The sequence below is a fragment of the Homo sapiens genome, chromosome 4 (genome assembly GCF_000001405.40).
Source record: "Homo sapiens chromosome 4, GRCh38.p14 Primary Assembly".
NCBI classification, from domain to species: domain Eukaryota; kingdom Metazoa; phylum Chordata; class Mammalia; order Primates; family Hominidae; genus Homo; species Homo sapiens.
In genome coordinates this window covers 1,297,258-1,315,050 of record NC_000004.12, presented here as the reverse complement: position 1 = coordinate 1,315,050, position 17,793 = coordinate 1,297,258, and the positions used below count along the sequence as shown (strand labels likewise).

Sequence of the window (17,793 nt, the reverse complement as noted above, 5' to 3'; positions counted from 1 at the left end):
TTTTGCAATACTTTTTTTCTTAAAGTCAATTTTGTTAAAAATGAATCGGGCTAGATAGAAACGTTCCAGGCCTGTGCTGCCCAACACAGCTGCCACCAGCCCACGTGGCTGCCACACACTTAAGGGCAGTGGTGCAACTGAGGAACTGAATTCTTCGCTAAAAATTTGACAGCACACACGGCGACTGACTACTGGACAGATCCAGGATCCGGGCTGGCTTCTTTCAGCACATTCTACCAATTTTGGCTTCCAACTGCTGTGCAGAAATCAGCTGTCCGGCTGTCTGTTGCCCCTTTGGAAGTCATCTTTTGCCCTCAGGAGCTTTTCAAATATTTCTTTGTCTCTGTTTTCTTCAGTTCCACCACGGGAAAATCCCATGTCGGTTTATTTTCACTTACTCTGTGTCGGATTCTGACCTGGTGGTACTCATCAGTTCTGAAACCTTGGTCACTCTCCCCGCACCATCTCTGTCCCCACCCACTGGTGGGCTCTGGTGAAACATGCCACAGGTTTCTGCTCTATTCCATGCTTTACTCTCGCAGCCACTTTGATTTTTCAGTCTCTGTGCTCCATTCTCGATCACCCTCCAGTTCACTAATTCTGTCTTTAGCTTTGTCTGTTAACTGTTAAACTGTTATAGGCAAATGTTGAGTTTTTCATTTTTGGTTATTATATTTCCCATTTCTTGAAATTTTAGTCCCTTTTAAATTCTGAATTTTTTTTTTTTTTTGGAGACAGAGTCTCTGTGCAGGCTGAAGTGCAGTGGTGCGATCTCAGCTCACTGCAACCTCCAGCTCCTGGGTTCAAGTGATTCTCCTGCCTCAGCCTCCCGAGTAGCTGGGACCACAGGCGTACACCATGCCCGGCTAATTTTTTTGTATTTTTAATAGAGACGGGGTTTCGCCATGTTGGCCAGGCTGGTCTTGAATTCCTGACCTCAGGTGATCCGCCTGCCTTGGCCTCCCAAAGTGCTGGGATTGCAGGCGTGAGCCACTGTGCCTGCCCAATCACTTTTTTAAGACAGTGTCTCACTCTGTTGCCCAGTCTGGAGTACAGTGACACAATCTCTGCTCACTACAACCTCGACCTCCTGGGCTCAAGCGATTCTCCTGCCTCAGCCTCCCAATTAGCTGAGACTACAGGTGTGTGTCACCACGCCTGGCTATTTTTTGTAGAGATGGGGTTTTGCCATGTTGCCCAGGCTGATCTCAAACTCCTGGGCTCAAGCAATCTACCTGCCTCGCCCTTCCAAAGTGAGCCACAGTGTCCAGCCTTAAATCACTTTTTATACTGTCTGTTCCCTGCAGAGACTTTCAAACTTTTTTTTGAGATAGGGTCTCGCTGTCGCCCAGCTAGAGTGCAGTGGCATGATCGTGGCTCACTGCAGCCTTGACCTCCTGGGCTCAAGCAATCCTTCTGCCTCAGCCTCCTGAGTATCTGCTGGGGCTACAGGAGGGCACCAGTACGCTTGGCTATTTTTAATGTTTTGTGGAGATGGGGTCTCCCTGTGCTGCCCAGGCTGGTCTCAAACTCCTGCGCTCAAGTGATTCTGCTGCCTCAGCTTTCCACAGTGCTTTCCAGGTGTGAGCCACCGCGCCCAGCCTGCTTCTGTTCTTTAAGCACAGTAAGGTGTGGCACCTGGCAGCCCCTGCACCTGCAGTCCGTGCAGCCCTCTGTCTACTGCCTGCTGGGTCTCCAGTCCATCGTGGTGTCTTGAGACAGGGTCTCACTGTTGCCCAGGCTGTCTCTGTGCTGGACGTTGTACTTGAAAACTGAGAATCTAAGAATCATCTTATGCCCATATTGAAGGTATCCTCCCCAAGAAAGAATCTGAATTGACTCTGCCCGGAGCTGGAAGGCACCACCAGCCGGGACCACCTCACCGGAGTGAAGGCTGAGGGTCTCCAATCATCCCAGTCCTCTGAACGTAGGCTGCAATGCTGTGTCAACGCCAGTCCACTTCTGGTACACCCCACGCTGAGCTGTAGTACCGTGGGGTCCCACCTTCTCTCCACTGGGCCCCACTTTCCAAGGCTTGGGTCATCGGTCCTCACCTCCATCTGGCCTGGCCAACACTCCAGGGGACAACAGCAGTCTCTTGCTGCTCACCTCTGACCCCTGCCCTCCGGTTCTGGCCTGGCGATTCCTTTCGGTTTCATGGTTTATTGGGTATTTTCAGTGCGACGTTTCAAGATATCTCATCCCACTTTCTGGGTGTCTTCAGTGGGCCAGATTAGTCCCAAGGCCCCTGTCCACCAATCCCAGTGACAAGGAACTCCACATGCTCCTTGGAGGTGAAATTCCATCTAAAAATAATCGATCAGGCCGCGTGCAGTGGCTTACACCTGTAATTTCAGCTTTGGGAGGCCAAGGCAGGTGAATCACCTGAGGTCAGGAGTTCGAGACCAGCCTGGCTAACATGGTGAAACCCTGTCTCTACTAACAATACAAAAATTAGACGGGCGTGGTGGTGGGCGCCTGTAGTCCCAGCTACTCGTGAGGCTGAGGCAGGAGAATCGCCTGAACCCCGGAGGTGGAGGCTGCAGTGAGCTGAGATCGCACCACTGAACTCCAGCCTGAATGACACAGTGGGACTCTGTCTCAAAAAAAAAAAAAAAAAAAAAAAATCAATCAACCTGCTATACATCCTGGTCTCCCTGTGGCCTGGACTCTGGACACTCCTGGAGCAAGACAACACGGTCCCTACAGGAACAGGAAGCTGGCCTGCTCAGCCGACAGTGGCCCCAGAAGGCAGACAGCAGGGAAGGGGGCCCCCAACCGCACCTCCCGCGTTCCCATCATTGCAGCTTGCCTGTCTTAGGACTCATTTTCGAGACAAAAGGGGTGTCCATGCCCCAGACTGAAGAGGGACCGCCAGGCGGGACCAACCTTCCTCTTGAGGACGCTGAGCTTCTCCACCACGCCGTCCAGCAGGCTGACCACGGAGTCCACGGCGGGGCAGCCGCTCAACGTCTTCTCCAGCTCGGCCACCACCATGGTGACGTGGCTGGTCTCCCGGTCAATGTTCTTCTGAGCGGCGCGAAAGCGTTTGTTCAGCGTCTCGTAGGGCACCTGGAGAGGAAGGAGGATGGTGAGGGATCTGCTCCCCTGGTGTGAGCCCCACCAGCCCCACACCCAGGACACACCAGGTCTCCTCATGGCACTTGTAGAGGCAGAAGTCTCAGAAGGTTCATGGTCTCAAAAGTATCTACTCTAAACCTCAACCAAGACCCACAAAAGCCCTGCTGAACGGAGAGCCACTCCACATCCCTGGATGAGAAGCAACCCCAATTTTTGCCAAAAACATTGTACGTGTATGTTGACAAAATAATCCCAAAGTTCATCCAGAATAACGAACAGTTAAAGAAATTTCCAAACAGGAGAGGAGTGACCGGGGTGTGAGGCTATCAGACGGTAAAACACAGGCCTGGCCGGTGATCAGCCAGGCTGCTGCGGCTGCAGGCGCCACCACACGAGGCCAGGCCGGGCAGGGACAAGGGTGCATGGGGCGTGGGCTCCACACGGGCTGGGGTTGGGCACAGCAAGCCTCACACACGCACGGGAAGCCACAAGTGCACGACCCACACCTCTCCTGTGTGACAGCGTTTGCCTTCCCCAGTCGTAAGAACCATCCATTCCCTGTGGAAATAAGCCAATCAAGGAGAATCTTAAAGTCGTTGTTAGTTTTCTGTCCCTCTGAGAGAAGCGCTGCTGAGTTCTTCTCCGCCCGTTTCCTGTGCTCTACGGTTTGAAAGCGGCACGACAGAATCACGCCCCAGCGCTCCCCGGCCTCCGTGGCCGGGCTCCCGCAGGAAACACCACCTGCGGTCCTGGCTGCACTGGTGGCCGGCAGCTCACCACACAGCGCATCAGCAACACGGCCGTGCTGCCGCCCAAGAGCAGTGGGCCCAACTCTGCCGTCGCAGCTGTGCCAGAACAAGCGCTCCACCTCGCCTCCTCTCCAGCCGTGCCCAACCATGGGAGGACAGACTCTCGGGTACCGCCTGCTCCCCCGGCCCTGGGCACGCCTCGACCTCGTGTCAGCCACTGTGCTTAGCCGTGAGGCCACGTGAGGAAGGCAGGGCTGCAGTGAGGGAGACCTGGACGCAGCTCAGCGCTTGGGCTTCCCAGAAGTAGGGACAGCCAGGGCAACAGAGACAGGACTGGCCTCAGCCGAGGAAGGAGCCACACAGCAGGGCTCTTCCCTAGACTCACTTTCCCCCCGAAAGCAGGGGCAGGAGGCGGGTGGCAAGGCCGGCCCTGAGCCCGTTCCCCCGGCTGCCACTCCCCACTCGGCCTGGCCCCAGCTGCCCTCCACTCAGACATCCCCCAGCGCCGACGTGGACCCACCGCGGGTGACAGGGTGCACACGCTCTCGTCCACACCAGACAGCCACACAGGAGGCTTTGCAAATGGCAGCCAGCATCACCGTCTGCTACCGAGCAGGACTCACCCTTGCTGGTGAGCAAATGAGTCAGGATGTTGAGAAGGAGGGCAGGGAAGCTATCAAGACACAACACGCTTAACCAACTCACAAAGCAGTGACAACAGGAGACGGACTCGAAGCCAGGCACCGTGTGTGGCATCTGGAACCAAGCTTGCTGGTGCCACGCAGCCTGGGGTCCCATCATCCACACTGCCTGCCTTCAAGATTTCTCCCAAGGATTCGGCACTGCTTAGGAAAGACGGGAAAGATTCTTTTCGTCTGCTCTACATCTAGTGGATGGGAAGTCACAGCAGACAGCACTTCAGCTCTCCATAAATACCTGACCAGTGCAAGCGAGCTCAACGAGACCCACTGGGGAAGGCCCCCCCGAGGCCCTGACACCACAGCCCGACACCGGCCTGCAGGACTCTCCCACTGGAGACCCTATCTGAGTGTGTCCTGCCACGAGGTGGAATTTCTAAAGGACGCAAGGCATATACTCAGTCTTTGCTCTGCCTGTGCAGGCGCCTCACAAGAGCAGGACAGAAAGTCTTCGCCATTAGACCATTAGACAAAGCGGCACAACCACCCTCGCTCGCGCGGAGGAACCCACACAGCATCCGCACACCAGCACATTCCAGACCGCCACCAGAAAAGGAAAGGCCTCTCTGGACGTCCCTTAGCTGCATTCAAGTTCTACGCGGGAACGGGGCCTTTCTGGACTTTCCAACCCCTGCCGGGCCGTCCGCCTCACCGCGGTGCTGACGCTGCTCAGGCACAGGGCAGAGCTCCGGGCAGCTGGTGTGCTGCAGACAGGAACCCTTTGCTCCCAGTGCAAGGGAAAAGGCCCTGCCCAGAACGCGCCACGGTTACGCAGAACGCAGGCATGAAGGAGGCCGGGGAGGGGCTCACCGGGGCCACGGTGTCTTCACAACTGGAAGACCCCACCTCCCTGCCAGTGGCTCTCAGGGTCCACATCCAGCCGCTTACTCCTCAGGCCTCCCACGCCTCTGCGCACGCTCCTCCCACCTCCCTGCCTCTGCTCCTCCTCCAGCGCTGGCCCGGGGCTATCCAATCTGAGTTCAGGGGATGAGCGCAGCACCCCCTCTCCCTCCAGCAGGGCAGCTGCTGACCCAGACAGCAGCTCCTCCCCACATCCACGCCCCCCAGAGGAGCCAGGCCAGCCCCGGAAAGCACCGCCTCCTCTTCCGGGGGACTCAGCACGTGACTCCGGGCCCTAAAAGCTCCCCTCCACTGGCCTGGGCTGGCTGGTTAGCAAGAGCCCCTTCACAGGCTCCTTAAAGGGCATTTGGTGACCGAGTGAGTGGAATTTCAGAAATGCTAAAGACTCTAACTCGAGCCAAATTATCACTCAAGAATGAGGACAAACTGAAGTTACTTTCAGATACGCAAGGGCTGAAAGCTGAGCACACACAAACCTTCCTGGCAGAAAAACTACTCAGAAATATTGCTTAGTGATCAAACACAATAAATCCGTGGACAAAGACAATGTAAGACACAAGAAACAGCAATGCAGAGAGGGGCCAGCAGATTCTAAGACACAAGAAACAGCACTGCAGAGATGAGCCCGCAGAAGATACAGCTCGCCCAAATGAGGACAGGCAACCTCACAGACCGTATCATAGGAAGAACAGTGAAAAGGGGCAAAGCATTAAAAATAGATTCCTAATAGCACAGGCAACAGAAAGAGACAAATGGGACTACATCAAACTTAAAAACTGCAGAGCAGGAAAAACCAACAGAGTAAAAAATGGGAAAAAATAGCTGCAACCCAGGGATCTGCATATGGAGCTACTATCCAGAATGCACTTTTAAAAACGCCTACAACTCCACAACCAAAGGAAATATCCAATTTTAAAATGGGTGAAGGACTTAGACACTTGTACAGAGAAGATAAACCAATGGCCAAGCGGCACATGACAAGATGCTCCACACGACCAACCACTGCTCAGGAGACACAAGTGCAGACGTGAGGCATCACCTCGTGCCCGTTAGGACGGCGATCACTCAACACCGAAAGCTATGCCACGGCAGGAAGCGGAGCAGCGGGACACGCGTGCAGTGCCAGGGAACGTGCCCGGCGCAGCGTGTAGAGCAGCGAGGCAATTCCTCAGAACGTTAGGCACAAGGCTCCTGAGTCCCCAGTAGGCCACGAGAACTGAAGGCAGGGTCCCAGGAGGTATCTGCACACCTGTGTTCATGGCAGCCACGAGGCAGAAGCCACCCACATGTCCATCACCAGGGGAATGAAGAAAGAAAACGTGGCAGTCACACACCACATAACGACATTTTGGTCAACAACAGACCGTGCAGGTGATAGTGGTCCCATTAAGATTAGGATACTGCATTCTCACTGCACCTTTTCTATGTTTCGATGTGTTCCATGCAAAACACCACCGTGGAACAGCTGCCTGCAGTATTCAGTGCAGTGACATGCTGTACAGGTTTGCAGCCCAGGAGCCACAGGCTGTACCACGGTGCGGGCGTGCAGCAGCCACACCATCTGGCTCCTGTTAGTTCATTCCACGATGTTCACACCGCAAAGTCGCCTAACGATGCATTTCTGAGAGTTTTTCCATGTAAGTGACACATGACCGTATCTGCACAGGTAATGGTTCATTTCAGGCATCAACTTGATGGGATTTGGGATACCTAGAGAACCTGTGAAGCATTACTTCTGGGTGTGCCTGTGCGGGTGTTTCCAGAGGAGACTGGTGGGTGAGTGGGAAGATGTCCTCCAGGTAGGTGGTGCCATCCAGTCCGCTGGGGCCCAGACAGAACAAGAAAGTCAGAGGATAAGCAATTTCCTGTCCCTCCTGGAGCTGGGATCCTGCCCTTTGGCATCAGAACTCCAGGGTCTCTGGCCTTTGGATGTTGGGACTTACACCAGCATCCCCCCAGGGTTCTCAGGCCTTTGGCTTTGGACTGAGCCACGCACCAGCTTCCCAGGGTCTCTGGGGTGCAGGTCTGCTGCGGGACTCAGCCTCTGTAATCACACAAGCCAGTTCCCCAATAAATCCCCTCATCTACCTCTATATATTATGAGTTCCGTCCCCCTGGGGACAAGTAACACAATACACAGTGGAACAGTATTCAGCCTTTTAAAAGAAGGCAATCCTCTCACTCACTGTAACATGGGTGAACCTTGAAGACATTATGCTAAGTGAAATAAGTCAACCATGAAAAGACAAATCTGCTAACTCTGCTTGTATGAGGTATCTCACACAGTCCAACTCTTAGACACATAAAGCAGAATGGTGGATCCCAGGGGCTGGGGTGGGGAGGAGGCAGTTTTGTTCAATGGCTATGGAGTTTCCGGTTTGCAAGATGAGAGGGTCATGGTGATATAGATGGTATGACTGTACTGTGTGCTTACGGAACGGTGTCTACGCTATAAATGGATAAAGTGGTTGCTGTATAAAATGGTTGATGGCAAATTGTATACATATATAACAGTATCTTTTTAAATTAAAAAATGTTAACAAAAATTCTAATGAATTTTGATAAATGGCACCTGACTGCCAGACTTCTCATAAAGCTAGAGTGCTGAAGCCAGTACAGCACTGGTCTAGGAATGGATGCAGGGGTCAATACAGGGTGGGGAACCCAGAAAAAGACCCACAGGCAGGGTCCATTTACATACAGCCAAGGGGCCAAGGCAACTGAGGCGAAGGACAGTCTCTGCAACAGCCAGGACAGGGAAGGGATGGCCCTCAACCCAAACCTCACATCCCATGAAAAGTGCCTCCGAATGGATCACGGACCTAAACACAAAAGCTCAAACTGTGAAACTCCTTAGAAGGAAACAAGGGAGAAAATCTTTGCATCCTTGAGACAGGCAACAATTTCTTAGAAGGATACAAAATGTACCAACTGTAAAAGAAAAATCCATCCTCTGAACCTTATCAAAATTAAAACTTCTGCTCTTCAGAAAACAATGTAAGAAAGTTAAGAACACGAGCCATGGACTGGGAGAAGGCCTTCACAGCACAGCTGACAAAGGGCTTCCATCTGGAATACAGCCAACTCCTGCAGCCTCAGTATTACGACAAGCAAGCCCCCCAACCCACTTTTCTTTTCTTTTTTCTTGAGACACAGTCTCACTCCATCACCCAGGCTGGAGTGCAATAGCGTGATCTCGGCTCACTGCAACCTCCGCCTCCCGGGATCAAGTGATTGTCCTGCCTCAGCCTCCTGAGTAGCTAGGACTACAGGTGCCTGCCACCTCGCCCGGTTAGCAATCCCATTTTTTTAATGGGGAAAAGGTTTGAACAGGAACATCACAGAGAAGTTCTATGAAGGGCAGGTAATCTCCAGGAAGACGTGCAACATCATGAGTCATCAGGGAAATGCAAATTAGACCACAGCGGAAAGCGCGATGGTGAATTTTATGGGTCCATTTGACGCTGCCAGGTTCCCCAACAAACATTTGGCCAAGTATTATTCTGGGTGTGACTGTGAGAGCATTCTGGGATGGGATTAATATCTGAATGGGTAAACTGAGGAAAGCCCACAGCCTTCCCCGTTGGGGAGGGGCCCTGCCCAATCTGCTGAGGACCTGAAGGGAAAGGCAAGGCTGGGTAAGAAGGAATTCCTCCTGTGGGCGGGGCATGGTCTTTTCTGGCCTTTGCACTTGGACTAAAACCCTGGCTCTTCTTGGATCTCCCGCCCGCCCGACAGCTTCCGGGTTAAAACTGCTACTGTCAGCCCTCTTGGTTCTCAGGCCTTGAGACTGAGACTGGAACTACATTTCAGCTCTCCTGGGTCTCCGGCTCGGGACTTAGCTTTGATAACTGCACCAGCCAATTCTTTGTGACACAGCTCCTTACACGCACGCGTGCGCACGTGCACGCACGCACACTCCCACACACGCGTGCGCACACACACATGTGGGTGCCACTGGCTCTGTTTCTCTGGAGAACCCCGGCACCCAGAAGAACAGTTCCAAGTCAAGAGGCCGCCACCACATGCTGGTGGAGCCGGGATACCTGGACTCTTGCTGGCAGCAGTTCTGATGATCCTTCTGGAAAAAGCGCTTAGTTCTTTAAAAGGTAAAGACACCTACCAGATGACTCAGCCATTCCACTCCCAAGAAAAATGGACATACAATATCCACATACAGGTGCAGGAATGCTTGTTCACCACAGTTCCAATTGTCCATTGACCAGGATGGGTAAACAAACCACGGTGTGTCCACACCGAAGAGTCCTCCAGCAATCAGACGGAGGGCCGCGCCGCCTGGAAGCAGCGGGGCACAGCAGCACAAGCAGGCTCCACTCACAAGGCACCCTCACCAGGGCCGGGCTCACCTAGTGCAGCGGCTTTCCACAGGGACCACTTGCTCCCCAGGGGACACCTGGCAATGTGTGGAGACCTTTTTGATTTGCCACAAGTGGAGCATGGCTGTGAACTGGGCAAACCGCAAGAGGAAATTAACTGGAACAAAGAAAACCTTAACGATCCACCAAAAAAAAAATGAAAAAATGAAGACAAAAGCATGGGAAATAGAAAGCAAAATAAGATGGTGAAGAGAAGTCCACGGTATTAATAATCATCATAAATCTGGATGGCTATGGAAAGACAGAAACATCAGTACAACTTTTTTGTTTTTAAAACATCTCTGAGAAACCGAAGCAGATAAAAAAAGGATAAAGCCACAAAGCAGTACCATTCAGTAGAGTATAGCGTGAGACACATTTGTATAGTTTCAAATTCAATAGAGTATAGCGTGAGACACATTTGTAGAGTTTCAAATTTTCTAGTAGCCATAGTACAAAGAAACACATGAAATGTGTTTTAATATATTTTATTTAACCCAATTTATCCCGAATATGTTCATTTAAACACTTAACATAAATTACCAGGGGCCGGGCGTGGTGGTTCATGCCTGTAATCCCAGCACTTTGGGAGGCCGAGGTGGGTGGATCATGAGGTCAGGAGATGGAGACCATCCTGGCCAACACGATGCCCCCGTCTGTACTAAAAATACAAAAAAATTAGCCAGGCGTGGTGGCGGGTGCCTGTAGTCCCAACTACTCGGGAGGCTGAGGCAGGAGAATGGTGTAAACCCAAGAGGCGGAGCTTGCAGTGAGCAGAGACCACGCCACTGCACTCCAGCCTGGGCGACAGTGCGAGACTCCGTCTCAAATAAATAAATAAGTAATTTTCAGGGCCAAGCATGGTGACTCCTATCTGGAATCCCCGTGCTTTGGGAGGCTAAGGTGGGAGGACTGCTTGAGGCCAGGAGTTGGAGACCAGCCTGGGCAACATAGAGACACCCCCGTCTCTACAAAAAAAAATACAAAATAAACAAACAATAAATAATCATTAGATATTTTACATTCTTTACCCTCTTTGTACTAAACCTTTGAAAGCTAGGGCATACTTTACATTGACAGCACACGACGATTTGGACCAGCAACATCTCAAGTGCTCAACAGCCACATGCGGCTCACAGAAAACACACTGGTGAGGTGAAGGAAACTGGAGCCACACGACTGACAGGGGGAGGAGGGTGCGTGGGGTTTGACGGGAGCTACAGAACCTGGGCCTCACCCTTCAACCCAGGTATTCTACTTCTATGGACCTGGACTAAAAACTCCCGACTCCTGTGTGCAGAGCTACACACCACGGACGCCCCCTGCCCTGCCCGACCCCCACCCTGCCCTGCCGGACCCCCCTGCCCTGCCCGACCCCCACCCTGCCCTGCCGGACCCCCCTGCCCTGCCGGCACTGTGCAAGCATGCTCTTCAGTTGTCTATTAAGCTGAATCATACAAAAAATCCCAATGTCATTTTTAATTTTACCAATTTTTACTGATACAATTCACAGGCCGTAAAATTCACCCCTTTAATATGTACAATTTAGTAGTTTTTAGAATAAGCACAAGGTTGTACAAACCACTCTACTTCTAGATTTTCATCACTCCAAAAAAGGAACCCGCTGTAGTCCCCTCAGACCCAGGCAATCAACCACCAACCAATTCCATATAAATGGAATCACACGTGATGTGGACTTTTGTATCTGGCTTTTCTCACTTAGCATGTTTACCAGGTTCACCTGTGATGTGGCATACAGCGACGCTCCACTCCTCTTCATGGCTGAATGGTCTTCCGTGGTATTCGTATACCTATTTGTTTAGGAATTCACAACTGATGGACCTTTGGCTGCTATCGAGAAGGACATGACATTCTTTTTTTTTTTTGAGACAGAGTCTCACTGTCGCCCAGGCTGGAGTGCAGTAGTGCGATCTCAGCTCACTGTAACCTCTGCCTCCCCGGTTTAAGTGATCCTCCTGCCTCAGCCTCCCAAGTAGCTGGGACTACAGGTGCACGCCACCATGACCGGCTTTTTTTTTTTTTTTTTTTTTTTGTATTTTTAGTAGAGACGGGGTTTCACCATGTTGGCCAGGACGGTCTCAATCTCCTGAGCTCATGATCCACCCGCCCCAGCCTCCCAAAGTGCTGGGATTACAGGCATGAGCCACCACACCCGGCCCGAGGATGACATTCTTAAGAGTTTCTACTGGTCTTGGGGATAAGCTGAGGAGGGGAGCTGCCAGGTCCTATGGTAACTCCGTGTGTCACCTGAAGAACGGCCAGGTTGTTTTCCGAGGTGGCTGCGTATGAGGATTTCAATTCCCCACATTCACACCCAACAACTCGCCATTGTTTTTGCTACAGCCCTTCTGGTGGGGTAGGAAGCAGCACCTCACTGTGGTTTTGGTTTGTATTTCCCTAAGGATTAATGATGTGCTTAGTGGCCATTTGTATATCTTTGCAGAAGTTTGCTAAAATTGTGTGCTCATTTAAAAAATGTTTTCTTGGCTGGGCGCGGTGGCTCACGCCTATAATCCCAGCACTTTGGGAGGCTGAGGCGGGCGGATCACGAGGTCAGGAGATCGAGACCAACCTGGCTAACACAGTGAAACCCCGTCTCTACTAAAAATACAAAAAAATTAGCCGGGCATGGTGGCAGGTGCCTGTAGTCCCAGCTACTTGGGAGGCTGAAGCAAAAGAATGGCGTGAACCCGGGAAGCGGAGCTTGCAGTGAGCCGAGATGGCGCCACTGTACTGCACTCCAGCCTGGTGACAGAGTGAGAATCCAACTCAAAAAAACAAGTTTTCTTTTGCCTTTGTATTAATGAACTAGAAGAGTTCCTAACCTATTCTGAATACTAAACCCTTAACAGATATATGACTGGCAAACATTTTCTCCCTGTTCTGAGCAGCTGTCTTAGTCAGCTCAGGCTGCTGTAACAAAAATATCACAGACTGGGCAACTTAAACAGCAAACACTGATTTCTCACAGTGTAAAGTACTTTTGTTGCATCTATTGAGATGATTATGTGGTTGTTGTCCTTCATTCTATTAATATGATACACGACATTGATTTTCACACGTTGAACCAACTTTGCATTTCTGGGGGAAATCCTACTTAGTCCTGACACATAATCCTTTCTATATTTTGTTTTCTTAGATTTTCTTAGTTTTCTAAGATTTTGTTGAATATTTTGGCATCTATTTTCTCTCATCTGGAACAATGGTCTATGGTTTTCTTGTGATGTCTTTGTCTGGTTCAAGGTTATATCAAAGTTATACTGGCCTCATAGAAGGAGGTGGGATGTAATCCCTCCTTAACTGTTTTTAGAAGAGTTGGTATAAATCCTTCTTTAAATGTTTAACAGAATTCATCAGTGAAACCATCTGGTCTCAGGCTTTTCTTTGTGAGGTTTTTTGTAGTAACTTCACCTGTTATAGGTCTATTCGGTCATCACTTTTAACTTACAAAAATAACAACTGTATATGATTCAACCTAACACTTTTTTCCTTCTACACATTTTGTCTGTGTCCCTTGTCCAGTGCTTATTTATTTTTACTTATTCACTTACTTATTCATTCATTCATATAGGGCGTCACTCTGCTGCTCAGGCTGGAGTGCAGGGACACAATCATGGCTCACTGCAGCCTTGAGCTCCTGGCTCAAGTGATACTCCTGCCTCAGCCTCCCAAAGTGCTGGGATTACAGGCATGAGCCGCTGTGCCTGGCTTGGTATTTGCTTTTAAATTCTGGTTCTATCTTTTCTGGTTATACCAAAGAATTAAACTTTTATTTATCACATCTCCCCAATTTTTCCTAAGTAATTTGTTGCATTACAGCTTTTTATGTTCACGGGATTTCTCTACTTAGCGAATGTTAAATTACATCTCCTCCAGTACATCTTCCCCTTTGGTGACTCACAGCAGTAATCCTCCCTGATTTCGTCACTGAAACAGAATGTGGCAAGCAGTGTGAGTGGAGACATGCGTGAAACGTCTGCACCTGCCCGCCCGCTGCCCCCACACGGTGCCATCAGCTTCAGGATGCGCTTCCTCAAACCTTCTCCAGCGTTTGCCGTGCTTCTGACAGAATTTGCTGACAAAACGCAACGCATTTCAGTGTGTCATCATCATGTTTTCACCAGCACGGGAAGGAAGAATTTCCCCAATGCATGAGGCTCTTTGTCTTTTGCAATTAACCAGAAGAGGTTTCTAAATATTGATCACGAAGCTCATCACAGGGCCAGAAGTGCTGGATTAAGCCCTGGGTGGCAGTTTACATCCCTCTCCGTCCTGGAGGGGCCAGTCTCATGTTCTGGTGCGGGGCATGTAATCACGGTGGCTTCCTGCCATCCTGAGCTAATCTCCCCAAGCACAGCACATACCCTGAGGGAGGCTCACCAAGGAAAAACGCTTCGAATCCCCTAAGAGGCTTCTTGAAAAAATGACACTTCCAGTCAACTTCTGAGGGGATGTAACCAGATTGATGTTGCGCCCTACAAAGCTCGCAGTGGCAAGAGTGCTGTCGGCCCTGAGCTCTGCGCTCCCTGTTGTGTGCACGCCCAGTTAGGCCCAGCCTTAGCCAGCCACTTCCTTGCAGGAACCTTTTAAAGCCACTGGTCCGTCTTGGAAAGGGTATGCGACCTGCGGCAGCGGCACACACGCACGCCACGCAGCCCCAGCCTCGGAAGCCGGCAGCACGGAAGAGCCGGGGCCGTGCCCCACGCGGTCCAGTGCCCTCATCCCCAGGTCACTCCCTGACCAAACAACAGAGACTGCAAGCGGGCAGGAGTGTCAGTTCATAATCACAACATCAGCAGAGCTTCCTCTCTCACCTTTCCATAAAGTATTTCAAAGGGAGCCAGCTGTTCTGCCACAAGGTCACAACTTTGGCAGTTACATACCTGGCTGTGGTGTCTGGCAAGGCCCAGCCCTTCTTGGTGTCCCTTTCATTATAAATAAGAAATATTTATCAAACACAAAAAGAACAATATGATATCATTACGGTTTTCATGCAGAAACACGGCATCCTCTGCTAGTGCCAATCTTCCTTCGGGCCTTTCCTGAAACAGCTCCGTGGCAGTCAGGCTGCCTGCTAAGGATGCTGTTGGATCGTCTGTCTCTGCTGCTTTGGGTTATGGTGAATGGGATGTGTTCTAACTGGCTGGCGGTGATATAGAGGGTGGCGACTGGGTTTCGTGCACTTACTGTATGCCCCGTTATTGTGCTGACTTTCTCAATGGTTACATTTACTTCTATTTCAATTCTTACTGCTTTAGACAGAATTGCCAAAATAATATTTAATATTATTTTGTTCATTTGTTAATTGGAGAATTTATTTCTTCTCTATCCTTCAAAAGAGCTTATAATCCCAGTGGTCAGAAACAAGCAAAATACCGTTATGTGAGACAGCGGTCACGACTCACGAGGGAAAAGGGCAGAAGTGGGAGATGCTGGGGCTGCAGTTTCAACAGTGGAGTCAGAGAAGCTTCACAAGCTGACAGCTCAGCGAAGATTGAAGGAGGTGAGGACATGGGACCACGGACGTTGGCAAAGATTGAAGGTGAGGACATGGGACCATGGACATCTGTGGAAGGAGCGCTCCAGACAGAGGAAGGTGGCAGTAAAACCCTGGGCTCGGCATGCTGGCCTGGCTGAATGGCGGCAGAAAGGCCACTGGGCCCAGCACCCTACAGGGCAAAGGGCCTGGGAGCCACTGTAACGACCCTGGCCTTCATCCCCAGGTCAGGAAACTCCTAGAACAAAAAGACGACAGGATCTGGCGCTGGGGCAGCCGGGGTGGGCATGAGCAGAGCAGGAGCAGCCAGAAGGCTATTCAATATTCCAGAGAGAGATGCGACTTGAGCCGCAGGGGCAGAGGTGGGAAGAGCAGCAGCAGCTGGGCCTGGGCATGTCCTGACGCCAGGGTGGAGGGGCAGACGGGCTGGGCATGAGCTGTGACAACAGAGGCATCAAGGCCAACCTGAAGGTTCTGGCCTGACCAAGGGAGATGGAGGGGCTGCCCTTCCCGAAGAGAAGGGAGACTGGTAGAATTGGTTTGGGCAGCAGGTGTTAAGATGATAAGCTCAGATCTAAATATGCCAAGGAGCTGGGCATGGTGGCTCACACCTGTTATTCCAACACTTTTGGACGCCCAGGAGGGAGGAATGCTTGAGCCCAAGAGATGGAGACCAGCCTAGACAACGGAGCTAGAACCTATCTCTACAAATAAAAAAATTAGCCAGACACGGAAGCAGGCGCCCGTGGTCCCAGTTACCCGGGAGGCTGAGGCAGGAAGATCACCTGAGCCCAGGAGGTCAAGGCTGAAGTGAGCTGTGATCATGCCACTGCACTCCCGCCTGGGTGCCAGAGTGAGATCCCATCTCTAAAAATAATAATAATTTTAATAATAATAATTTTAATGCCAAAGTGCCTTGCCAAGTGGGTATGTTTTACAGGCTACTGGATACAGGGCTCTGGGGTTGGGAAGATACCTGCCTGGGAGTCATCAGTATACACAGAGGGTCCTATCAGTCCACTAGACCCTGTGAGAGCACCAAGGCAGCGGTGCTCACAGCAACACCCAGGGCCAAGGACTGAGCCCGGGGGGAAACGCGAGGATGGCGCTCTAGGAGCCCGAGGGGGTGAGCTGTGTTCCAGCCCTGTGAGAGGTCGAGATGGGCAGCAAGAATCCATCATGGGTCTCAGCAGTGTCTTGGGGTTACCTGGTGCCCTGACTATAGCACTGTGATGGGGGTAAAACCAGATGAGAAGCAATTCCAGAGACCCCAAGGCAGGGCTGGCTCAGACAGAGGGGACCTGTGGGTCCCGCACACAGTTAACCAGAAGACGGCGCGTGTGCCTCTTCGTGGATAACCAGAAGACGGCGCGTGTGCCTCTTCGTGGATAACCAGAAGACGGCGCGTGTGCCTCTTCGTGGATAACCAGAAGACGGCACATGCCTCTTCAGGTCACAGGGATGGGGCAGGGGGTCTGGTGCATGAACAAAGGCTGGCCTTGGGCGGGGCACAAATGACATATCTCCAGTAAAAGAAAGGAAACAGTGAGCACAAGCAGGCAGGCGACAGACAGGGCCAAGCCGCGGGCAGAGCACAAGGACGGGGCAGGCATGGGGGGCTCATGGAGAAGGAGGGGCATATGGAACAGTACCTGGGGTACAGGGTGCTAAAATGCCTCAAGAAGCATGGCTATGCTGCCAGGCAGTACTCGACACCCACTCCAGGCAGCAACCGGGTTCCTCAGCAGATAGGTGCGGCTTCTGTGGCCAGTGCAGGGGCCTTGCACAGCGGGGTTTCCATGCTGGAATGTTCTAGAACAATGGGAAGCAGAGAAGGGCAGGGGATGGGGCTACATCGCGAGGGGTGGAGGCAAGGGAGAAAGGAAACGCAAGAGGCTGACCACAGCCAGATGAGAGCACAGGCCATGAGACCAAGACATACTCTAGAATGCGGCAAGTGGACAAAAGTGAGATGCGAAGTTTAGGAATTTCCCAGACAGACGGGGGAGAAATTGGTTCGGCCAACAGCCATTGACTGACTCCTGTGCCAGGCACTCGTGGGTGTGACGTGAACGACGACAAAGGACGGCCCGTGCCCTCGCAGAGCAGACGCTCTAAAGGAGACGCCCAACCAAAGCACAGAGAGATGCAGGCGACCGCGTCAGACTGTGACGAGTGCTGCAAAGGAAACCAGGCAGGCAAGGGACAAAGGGCAAAAGGAACCACATCCTAATTTTATTTAGGGCAGCAATGAGCCCACACTCAAGCGCGTGCTCTCTCTCTATATGTATGTATACACACACACATACGCACGTACTTTTTCAGGCTCCTCCAAAGCTAGAAATGGCCAGCCCCGTGCTCTGGGGAATGAGCTGAAGTGTAAACGCTTGGGAGGATGTCCACTAAGGCCCCCACGCAGGGAGCTGGCCACGCAGGGCGGCACTGATTCCCCCTTACCCTCCTCCTGGCCGCGAAGGCCGCAGCCCCAGCAGCCATCGTGGACTCAAGGA

At 51.7% G+C, this 17,793-nt stretch overlaps 1 protein-coding gene across 12 annotated transcripts in view, besides 3 other annotated features; it reads right to left on the bottom strand.

Moving 5' to 3' along the window:
• The window catches only part of MAEA (macrophage erythroblast attacher, E3 ubiquitin ligase), a 50,247-nt gene that overhangs the window by 25,087 nt on the left and 7,367 nt on the right, over window positions 1–17,793 (bottom strand). For 8 of the 12 annotated variants that reach the window (NR_123716.2, NM_001017405.3, NM_005882.5 and 5 more), the window contains exon 2: window positions 2,890–3,072. Coding sequence is in view for 11 of the 12 variants with exons in the window: in NM_001017405.3 (NP_001017405.1) it covers window positions 2,890–3,072 (183 nt within the window). In the remaining variant the exon portion in view is untranslated. Of the gene's footprint in view, window positions 1–2,889; window positions 3,073–5,054; window positions 5,265–5,338; window positions 5,609–16,935; window positions 17,078–17,793 lie in introns of those variants that run through there. The other 4 variants (NM_001297432.2, XM_006713850.3, XM_047449493.1 and 1 more) reach the window with 3 other exon arrangements.
• Window positions 4,341–5,238: an enhancer, noted in NCBI's record as "H3K27ac-H3K4me1 hESC enhancer chr4:1303601-1304498 (GRCh37/hg19 assembly coordinates)". NCBI's record gives its function as "activates a minimal SCP1, AML or CMV promoter by ChIP-STARR-seq in naive H9 embryonic stem cells {active_cell/tissue: H9 hESC(naive)}" and the evidence as "EXISTENCE:reporter gene assay evidence [ECO:0000049][PMID:30033119]".
• Window positions 6,136–7,033: an enhancer, noted in NCBI's record as "H3K27ac-H3K4me1 hESC enhancer chr4:1301806-1302703 (GRCh37/hg19 assembly coordinates)". NCBI's record gives its function as "activates a minimal SCP1, AML or CMV promoter by ChIP-STARR-seq in naive and primed H9 embryonic stem cells {active_cell/tissue: H9 hESC(naive and primed)}" and the evidence as "EXISTENCE:reporter gene assay evidence [ECO:0000049][PMID:30033119]".
• Window positions 17,041–17,754: an enhancer, noted in NCBI's record as "H3K27ac-H3K4me1 hESC enhancer chr4:1291085-1291798 (GRCh37/hg19 assembly coordinates)". NCBI's record gives its function as "activates a minimal SCP1, AML or CMV promoter by ChIP-STARR-seq in primed H9 embryonic stem cells {active_cell/tissue: H9 hESC(primed)}" and the evidence as "EXISTENCE:reporter gene assay evidence [ECO:0000049][PMID:30033119]".